The following is a 9,914-nucleotide window of genomic DNA, read 5'->3' as shown; positions in this document are numbered from 1 at the left end:
TGTGTGGTGTGTGTAGTATGTGGTGTGTGTGTGTATGTGTGGTGTGTGGTGTGTGTGTATATGTGTGGTGTGTGTGGTATGTGGTGTGTGTGTATATGTGTGATGTGTGTGTATATGTGTGTGGTGTGTGTGGCATGTGTGTGTTGTGTGTATCAAACTCTGCCTAAAATGTGCCCACGGTGAACACCAAACACCATGTGATGTGAATGGTTTAAAAGCCTGAAGCGTTTTAAACCAAGTGCCTGAAAGATTTTAGCCTCACCAGGTATCTGTTTGCATTTAAATAACATAAAGGACCCTTTTCTTCAAAGACAAAAGTATGTCGGTATTTCAAATAGTACAAAAATTCTCAATGAAACAAACTCTGAGCGCCTACTGCATGCAGGCACTGTGCCTCTAGCCAGAGATACAAAATTAACACTTTGGCGCTGACCTCCTCGGAGTGGAAAACCCAGCAGGGCTGAGCTAGATCTGGGGGCGAAACACAGTCAATCTGGTTCTCTGTCGTTAGAGTTGCAAACCTCAGTCTCTCTGCCCTGCCTCCTGCCCCACAGCAGGAACACGAGAGCAGCCAAGGCTGTCCAGCAGAGCAGTGGCCGTGTGTCCTGCTGTTCCATCAGCTGGAATGCAGCACTAGGACTGGCCTGAGGCTGAGTGCTGGCAGAGGGAGGGCCACGGACAGAATCGCCAGTAATTTATCTGGGGCCCCGCCGAGCAGGGTCATGGGCTTTGGGCAGCCGTCCTCAGGAGCCCCAGGCCCTCTTCACCTGGGCCTGGCACTCTTTCCCGAGTACATGCTGGCACCTGAGGTGAGCCAACAGACCCGAGTGCAGGACTAATTCACCTGGAATGTCAATATTTGGGTTCAGGGTGACTGAGTTCATACAAATACCAGTTATACTGAGTGTGCATTCTTGTAAAACAGGAAGAAAAATAAAACACTTCTCTGATCAAAATAGTGTTCTATGTATGTGGAAGTCCTCCCCACAACCCCAATGATACAAGGTCATGTTATCAGAGTCAGAAAAAGTTTTCCAGTGGGATATATCTTCCTCCTCATTCCAACTCCATCTAATGGCCATCGTGCCACCCTGAGCTGGGAGTAGAGAAGTTTAGACCCGGAAGACATCCTAATGTTTAGTAAAAACAAAAGGACATCAAACAAATAAACAACAGCTGGGGTCCAGAGAAGCCGAGATTCTGCCTCCACGGTGCCCAACTCATCAGCAAACCCCACAGAACTCCATGATCATGTCACATTCATGATCAGGAATGTGGCCACAAGCGTAGGCTCTAGGGACAAGGGAAAACTCCCAGCACGGCTCTGGTCTGGAGGCCCCATTAGTGGTGGCCTTGTGGGTCCTTATCGGCAATAACAATACCAATGACAGCCAAAATATCCTCCTGACTTTAACCCAGGTCTACTTCTATTGAATTCCAAAGCCTCCAGTATAAACTTTTGTACAATCTCCAAGCATTCACCTGCAGATAGCACAAACCCCGACTAGCCTGTGCTCATGTAATAAGGAGTCACATGGCCTCACAGGGTTGGGGCAGTGGCCCAGCCATGCCATCAGGGGACAATTGCTCTTTTCCTCTCTCTGTTTTGCCATCCTTGATGTTGGCCTTCATTCCTCAGGTCATTGCTTCACAATCACAAAATGGCCGCTGCAGCTCCAGGCATTGCTTCTGTGCTTCAAGGAGGAAGAAAGAATGGGAGAAGGAAGGTGGTACCCGTTTCAGGGAAGTAAAAGTTTTCACAGAAGCCCCAGCAGATCTCTGTGTATGTCTTATTTGTTGGAAGTATCACGTGGCCGCTACTAACTTCAAGGGAGTCTGAAAAGGTGAGTATTTTTAGCTGGGCACGTCACCTGCCTGGACACAGTTGGGGTTCTATTAGTTAGGACGTGAGGAAATGGGTCTTGCATTGGCAACTAATAATGTCTGCCCCAGTGGGTGAGTGAGGACACTGGCATCTGTCTGCAGGGGTGAGATGTGAGTAAAAGTGCTCAGCATGGTGAGGGAGCTGGCACATGCCATCCAGCTGTGCTTGCTTTGTGTCTTGCAAAAATGATACAGTCTTATCACTAAGCTCTCCCACTTTTCAGGGAGTGTTAATAAAACCTTGACCTCAAAGAATTGAGAATATCAAGTGAGGACATCTTTGCACAGAGAGGTGGTCCCCCTGGTGTGGGAGGAGGGTCTGCAGTCAGTCCGCTCAGTGTGCCGAGCCTGCGCGGTCCTCCCAGAGGCCCTTGCCCTTGTGTTCCAGGCCCCACCTCACTTCCCCACTGCCACACCTGGCGCCTTCCGTTCAGACTCGCTGGCTGTCTAACCCTAGTCCATGGGAAAACCCAACAATCCTCAGGAGGTGTGGGTGGAGAGAGAGATGGAGAGAGACAGAGAGGGAGAGAGAAAGACACATAGACAGAGAGAAAGAGAGAGAGGGAGGGAGCTTGCTTGCTTCCCTCTGGTGGCCGAGTGCTAACCCAGCCCTCCTGGCCTCGGGCCTTCACCACCCTGTTTTGTGGCTGCCCACCCTGTCTCATCCAGCCCCTGCGCTGAGGTCCCTTATAGACTCGGGCGTCATTTGCTGATGATTTCAAATGGCTCCCATGAAATTCCAGGACACGAGCCATCTGCGTCCTTTCCCTGGGACTCCCTGGCTCCTGGTGGTCATTTGCCCCCCGCTGTGTCGTGGGGAACAGCCGCCGTGTGCGTAGGGTGTAGGGAGGCTCCACCTGAGAACAGAAAGCCTGGGTGACTCTTCTTAGAGCGTGATGTGCTTTCATATAAAATAAGTCTAAAGAACAACACAATGCTCACTTTTCAGAAGGGCCCTGGGTCCTGGGCGGCGGGCGGGGTGTGGAGGAAGCAGCCGCACTTTCCTGGTTCCGGGGCAGACGTCACCCAGCCTGCACATCCCTCCTGATTCATCTGGGAGGCCAGTGCTTTTGGGTCTGTCTGCTCCATCCTTCCTGCACTTCACAGGAGGCAACCATGAGCTCTGTGTCTCATCTGCACCTGGGTGAGTCACTGGGCAGGGAGAATTATTCAGAAAGGAAGGGGATTAGGTTGTTCATTGTCAGCCACAAAAAGGAGGGAGGAGAACAGTTAGAAACTAAGTCCTTTTGGCTCTTGGAAAAAACCTTTTGTGATCCTGAAATTCAAGCTCTCACTCTACAAATAAACTGAGGCCTGGCTTTGGCAGGGCTGGCCTCCCTGTCTCTCCTCTGACCTGGTGGGAGTGTCTGCCCTCCCTGCGCATCTCATGTCCTCAGCCCTGGCTCAGCATCTCCCGGAGGCCACGTCTGCTCCTCCAGTGCTCTCCTGGGCAGCGCCAGCAGAAGGCCAGGCACTCCTCAGACCCTGCATTTCCACAATGGGGCTCCATATCGCCCCCTAAACCTGTGCCTCTTCCATGTTCTTACAGTAAATTAAGGCACCATGCATCCCCTTGCTGAAGCTGAGGATCTCAGTGACAGCCTCGACCCCTTTCTGTCCCTCACATCCACAGCCAAGCACCCTTTCAATCAGAAGGCTTCTTCCTGTGGACTCTCACATCCGTCCCTCTCTGCATCCCTCCTGCCCTGCCAAATCCAAGCTTGTCACCTCTTTCAGTGATGGCCTTTCAATCACTTTCCTCTCGCCGGTCTTGACTTTTTTGATCTGTTTCTCTGCTGCAGTAGCCGAGGTCTTTACACAGTACCCTCCAGCTTACTCATTCTGCGGCACCCAAGGCTTTTAGGATGTCAAAATTCCAAATTGGGACCTTCCTACTCCTTTCCCAACGCTCATCTTCACAAGGTTTGGTATTCAGAAAACACTGGCAGATGACTAAAAGTAAACAGGAAGAAAGGAAGAAGCTCTGTATGTCTTTATACATTCTCATAAAACAGAACAAGCTATTCCATAGCACACAGAAAAACTACTTAAAATCCAAATTCTCTTTCTCCCTCTCAGTATCTGGCTCGAAGACTCCCCAAAATCCCCCCTGTCCCTCCTCCAGCTGCTGGCTGTGCTGGCCTTCTTCTAAACCTCTTCATGGAGGCACCATGTCATGGACCCCAAAAGTTAAGCAAAGGGCAAGTCGTCAGCCAAAGTCCTCAGGAAAGAGACTTGATTGATTCCTCTGTCTTCTTGTGGAAGTCTGAGCTCTCCACCTGCTCTGTGCTTCTTTCACTAGATTGGGCTTTGCTTTAGCATGAGTCCTAAAGACCCTTGAATTGAATGGCAATCCCACATTTTTATATTTTCCCTTTTAGGGCCCCACACCTTATAGATTGTAAAATGAAATGCCGTTGAATACAGGAATCTCTCCTAGCTTTGTCTGACCGCACAATCACAGCTGCTAAAGCTATTCTCCTGACATCACAGAAACAGACCGCCTCCTAATATGGCTGTTCGCCACTTCAGAAGAGCATTTACTCTGGCAGCCAAGCCCTTTTATTGTACCCCACCCCAGATCTCAGTTCCAACCTTTGACCCCCTTTAGCTTTGCATGCCATGGATTCATGCTGCCAATGGCTGGTGAAGAAAAGCTGGGTTCATGGAGCAGGCATGGGTTTTCTGTAAGCAGAGAGGAGGGAGATTAGGGAGAGGCATGGCCTGTGACCATCTCTTACCATCAGATACATCCACTTCAAGCCCTCTCTTCCCCACTCCCCACATCTGGTAAAGACTAACTGTGCCATGCTAAAAGCCAAAGACCTCCTCATGATCCTACACAACCCACATCTAACAGCAGAGCTGTGCATGAGTGTGTTCATATTACAAACCCTCTCTTAAAACTCTGAGCTGTGTCCCATCTGAATAGACACAACTGTTTATCCATCTAAGTGTTTTTCTTGTTAGGAATGAACCCCATTTCTTGTTTGAGGATGTTCAGGTTATGGGCAAGAATGTTGAATGAATGGCAAGGAAAAAAAAACTGCTGTGGTGTGAGTCCTAATTAACACTTTGGACTTTGAGTTTATTAAAGTGGGTGGTTATAGATTGTAAACTGAAGTGTAAATATTTAAAGTATGGAACATTTTAAAACTGAGGCTTGGAGAAATGTATTCATGGAAAAAGGACACATCACTCATCTTTATTCATCAGAGTTTTAAGTGATTTCCACCTCTAGTTATTTGGACTGACTAGATAATTTGGATCAATAATCCAAATGAAAACAACTCTAAAGCTGAATAAAATGTCTTTTAAAAGTGTTTAAAGGAATTGGAGCTGTAACAAGGTGGTAACACTGTCTGGATGAAGATCTAGGAAAAGAAAGAAATCTAGAGAAGTGCAGCTGGCATCGGGTGCTGGCTGTGTCTGGGGGTTTCTGCTTTTTCAGGAAGAGGAGGCTGGGAAGCCGAGCAACACTTTTGGCTCCCTCATGAGGCAGGAAGTCAAGTGCAGGAGTCCAAGTTCTGCCAAGATTAAGGCCTTCATAAAACCCTGAAACTGAGTTGGGATCCCAACTCTTTTGAGTGAGGAGTAAGGAGGAACTAAAGGTAAACCTGTTCTCCCATATACTTGTCTCAGCTTCAAGACACCTGAGTGGCCCTAAAAAATATCACCACTGAAATTGTATTAAGGTAATCCCAGATTGATGGTATCTCCAGGCACCTGGCTGAAATAAAAGAAAATAATCTCTGGAGAAAGCAACATCCTATCAAGTCTCAAATTGTTTCTAAGCAATCTCTTAAATACTTGTTTGGCATTTTATCAAAGATTGCCAGAAGCACAGGAGACGTGACAACCTAACTTAGAACTAGCAGAAAGATCTGGCACACAAGCACCCTAAATAAAATAATTATCAGACACAGTCTCCAAAATAATTGTGTTTATGGTGTTCAAGGATATGAAAAACAAGATTTAAAATATTAATAGAATACCAAACATATTCATCTGTGGAAGTTAGAGCAGCTTTGGGGGAAAAAAAGAAATTCTAGAACTGAAAAATACAATAACAAATTAAAAATGCAAGGAGCATGTTTTACAACAGAATGGAAACAGCTGAAGAGAGAATTATTAAACTGGAAGATAGACCACAAGAAAATAGCCAGATTTAAGCAAGCAGAGACTAAAGATGAGAAAGACAAGAGAGAATATTAGACTTGAAATACATGGCGAAAGGACCAGAGTTTCAGGATGAGAGAAGAAAGAAAATGGACAGAAGCAATATTTGAGGAGATAGCAGCTGAGAAAATAATTTATTTCTTCTCTTTATTTTATGGGGAGTTTAGAGTTTTTTCTGAGCTTAATTCTTAGGAAGATGAAGCACTTTTAAAGTGCTCATTAATCACTATCAAATAAGTAGAGAGTAAAAGCCTCTGTTTTTAATTAAAGATAACTTAAAGTAGTTCTAAACAGAGTTATTTTAAAATAGACTAATCAATTAATATTGGAAACAGGGTTATCTTAGCCAATATTCTATTAATATCTATTTTGGTACTTTGGGAAAATAGTGGAATGATTTCTTAACCACTTGAAAATAGTCAAACTACGATTGTTCCCTGAGAGTTAAACCTTACAATACAGAAGTAGCTGATCAGGGCAAAGATGTGCAAACCTTTCTTAATGACACAGAGTAGTGCCCAGGAAAGCTTAACTTGACAACGACCTGAATGATGTCATGTCTTAATCAATTAGGTGTGTAAATGAAGGGCCAATTTTATCAGCCAAGTAAGCAGAGTAAAAGGAGGGTCACAGAGACAAAGATTGGCTGGGCCTATAGAAACTTAGTCTAGGGGCAAGGACGATAAATATTCCCATACCCTAAACAAGACTCTTCCATCAAAAGATTCCATATATCCCATTTATCCAGCTGACTCCCTTGTTGTGAGCCCAGATCTACCATTGCAATTCTCTGATTATAGTTTGGATTCCTAGGCTCTCTATGAAGAAAAATGGTCTCTGGTGATTGTGTACTTCACTATAAATTGTAAGTTAGTGTTACGGTTTATACATCAGTCTCTGTTACATTGATTAATGTGAGTCTACTACTACAGATGCATTCATTGAAAAGCCAGGGATCTGAATCCATAGGACAGGGAGCCAAAATATAGAACAGGTTATATTTGTCAAGGTAATGCCATTCTATGGTTCTCTTAGATTTGTTTTTCATTCTTGAAGTTAAAGTCCTGGCACTGTCATTGTCTATTTTTTTTTAAAGTTAAAGCAATATAATCATATATTTAAGAACTGTATCTACTATTAAAAGATATCATAAAACAGCTTATCCTTCTCTCACTCCCACCCAATTCCTCAAAGATAATTAATCACTCCTCATTTCTTGTAGAATTTACCATCATAACTTTGAAGTCCTGCATACACTCTATTTATTTTTTATTGAATATGTTGATGAAAAAAATTAGAAACATGATGAGTCTCTACTGTCTTGGAAGTTTTCCTGTCTTTATTTATGATTGATTATTAAAATAGTTCAACTATTGGATTAACATTTTTCATATGTGCTTTCTTATTTTTGATTGCTTTTCTTTTACATCATGCTGTTTTGGTTTTAAGAATGTACAAATTCATAATAATTTTTTGACAATTTCCTCTATTCCCAGAATAATTTCTTTGTCCTTTACATGTTAAAATTCTATTTATTTGTTTTGGTTTCGCTGGTATATTATAGCCTTTCCCAGCTTTATATTTGTGGTGGACAGACTCTTCAAATGGCCTCAGTAAGCCGCCCCCATCCTGGAGTTCATGACCTTGTTCAATTCCTTCCCCATGAGTGTGGGAAGGATCTGTGACATGCATCTAACCAACTGACTACCGCAAAGGTGGCCAGATGTCCATGATTACAATAATGTAAAATTTAACATCAGTTTTGTTGGACTCTCTCTCTCTCTGCTTTGCTGGTTTTGAGAAGGCACGTGGTCATGTTGGATAACCCACGTGGCAGGAACTAAGGGCACCTCTAGGAGCTGAGGTGGTCTCTGAACAACAGGAAATTGAAGCCTTCAGTCCAACAACTGCAAAGAACTGAATCTTGCCCATAAGATGAGTGAGCTTGGAAGTGGATCTTTTCTCTGGTTAAAGCTCAATGCAAACTTAGCCAGCCAGACACCTGGATTAGAGCTTGGCTGAGACCCAAGCAGAGGACTCAGTGAAACATGCCTGTGCTCTATTTATTATGTAAGCATTAAAAAGCTGATAAGAACCTGTGTTTCTTTTTTTTTTAACTTTAATTTTAGGTTCAGAGGTACATGTGCAGGTTTTTTATATAGGTAACTCATGGCACAGGGTTTATTGTACAGATTATTTAGTCACCCAGGTACAAAAGCTTAGTACTCAATAGCTATTCTTTCTAATCTAACCTTCTCCCACCCTCCACCCTCAGGTAGGTCCCAATGTCTGTTATTCCCCTGTATGTGTCCCCATGTTTTCATCATTTAACTCCCACTTATAAGTGAGAATGGGAAGCATTTGGCTTTCTGTTCCTGCATTAATTGGTTAAGGATAATGGCCTCCATCCATGTTCCTGCAAAGGATACAATCTTGCTCTTTTTTTATGGCTGCATAGTATTGCCTGGTGCATATGTACCACAGTTTCTTTATCCACTCTATCATTGATGGACATTTAGGTTGATTCCATGTCTTTGCTATTGTGAATAGTGTTGCAATGGATATACATGTGCATGTATGTTTATGGTAGAATGATTTATATTCTTTTGAGTATATACCCAGTAATGGGATTGCTGGGTCAAATGGACAGAAACTTTGTTACTAAAATTTAAAAAGAGTAGCCACACAAAATGTTGGCAAGGATGTGGAGCCACTGCAGCTCTCAGGCATTGCTTATGGTACAGCCACTCTGGAAGACAGTTTCACAGTTCCTTAAAAAGTCAAACATTATGACAAAATGAGATATTATTACAAAAGTATTCAAGTACCCAAAATTTGAAACGCCAACACCAGCAAACACTGGTGAGGACTCTCATCAATTGCTGGTGGGATGCAAAATGCTACAACCAATTTGGAAAAAAAAATTGGCAATTTCTTGTAAAACTAAACATACTCTTACCATACAATCCAACAATCATGGTATTTACCTGCATGAGCTAAAAATTTATGATCAGCTGGGTGTGGTGTCTCACACCTGTAATCCCAGCACTTTGGGAGGCTGAGGTGGGTGGATCACTTGAGGTCAGGAATTCAAGGCCAGCCTGACCAATATGGTGTCACTCCTTCTAAAAATACAAAAATTAGCTGTGTGTGGTGGTGGGCGCCTGTAATCCCTGCTACTCTGGAGGCAGGAGAATCACTGGAACCCAGGAGGTGAAGGTTGCAGTGAGCCAAGATCATGCCATTGCACTCCAGCCTGGGCAACAAGAGCGAAACTCCATCTCAAAAATAAAAACAAAATTATGATCACACAAAACCCTGCATGCAGACATTTATAGCAGCTTCATTCCTAATTACGAAAACTTGAAAGCAATTAGGATGCCCTTCAGTGGTAAATGAATAAATAAACTGTGGTACATCCATACAATGAAATATTATTCACCACTAAAAAGAAATGAGCTATCAAGCCATAAAAAGACACGGAAGAAACTTAAATGCCTATTACTCAGTGAAAGAAGGCAGTCTGAAAGGCTGTATACTGTATGATTCCAACTACATGATGTTCTGGGAAAGGCAAAACTACAGAGACAGTAAAAATCTCAGTGGTTGCCAAGAGTTAGTGGGGAGGGAGGGATGAATCAGTGAAGCACAGAGGAGTTTTAGGGCAGTGAAACAATTCTGTATAAAGGTATCAGGGTGGACATGTCATGATCCATTTGTCAAAACTCATAAAATACAAATAGCAAGTGTGAACCCTAAACTATGGACTTTGGATGATTATGACGTATAAATGTAGGCCATAGATGGTAACAATGTGTGCTCTGCCACAGAACATCGATAGTGGGGAGGCC

At 43.6% G+C, this 9,914-nt stretch overlaps 2 long non-coding RNA genes across 4 annotated transcripts in view, besides 1 other annotated feature; one reads left to right on the top strand and one right to left on the bottom strand.

Moving 5' to 3' along the window:
• Positions 1 to 1,405: 1,405 nt before the first annotated feature.
• On the bottom strand, positions 1,406 to 3,818 carry PCSEAT (prostate cancer expressed EZH2 associated transcript). The gene has a single exon (NR_164474.1). It is a non-coding gene; the product is annotated as a prostate cancer expressed EZH2 associated transcript (long non-coding RNA).
• Positions 2,062 to 3,261: an enhancer, noted in NCBI's record as "CDK7 strongly-dependent group 2 enhancer chr21:42952959-42954158 (GRCh37/hg19 assembly coordinates)". NCBI's record gives its function as "activates an origin of replication core promoter dependent on BRD2, BRD4, P300/CBP, MED14 and CDK7 cofactors, with strong dependence on CDK7, by STARR-seq in HCT116 cells {active_cell/tissue: HCT116}" and the evidence as "EXISTENCE:reporter gene assay evidence [ECO:0000049][PMID:35650434]".
• LOC105372809 (uncharacterized) overlaps positions 2,949 to 9,914 on the top strand; it is a 28,541-nt gene continuing 21,575 nt past the window's right edge. For 2 of the 3 annotated variants that reach the window (XR_937738.1, XR_007067871.1), the window contains exon 1: positions 2,953 to 3,028. This is a non-coding gene — a long non-coding RNA (uncharacterized LOC105372809). Of the gene's footprint in view, positions 3,029 to 9,914 lie in introns of all 3 variants that reach the window. The other variant, XR_937739.1, reaches the window with a different exon arrangement.

The sequence above is a fragment of the Homo sapiens genome, chromosome 21, assembly GCF_000001405.40.
Source record: "Homo sapiens chromosome 21, GRCh38.p14 Primary Assembly".
Classification (NCBI taxonomy): domain Eukaryota; kingdom Metazoa; phylum Chordata; class Mammalia; order Primates; family Hominidae; genus Homo; species Homo sapiens.
The sequence above is the reverse complement of the archived record's forward strand: the minus strand, read 5'-3'. Positions and strand labels throughout refer to the sequence as shown.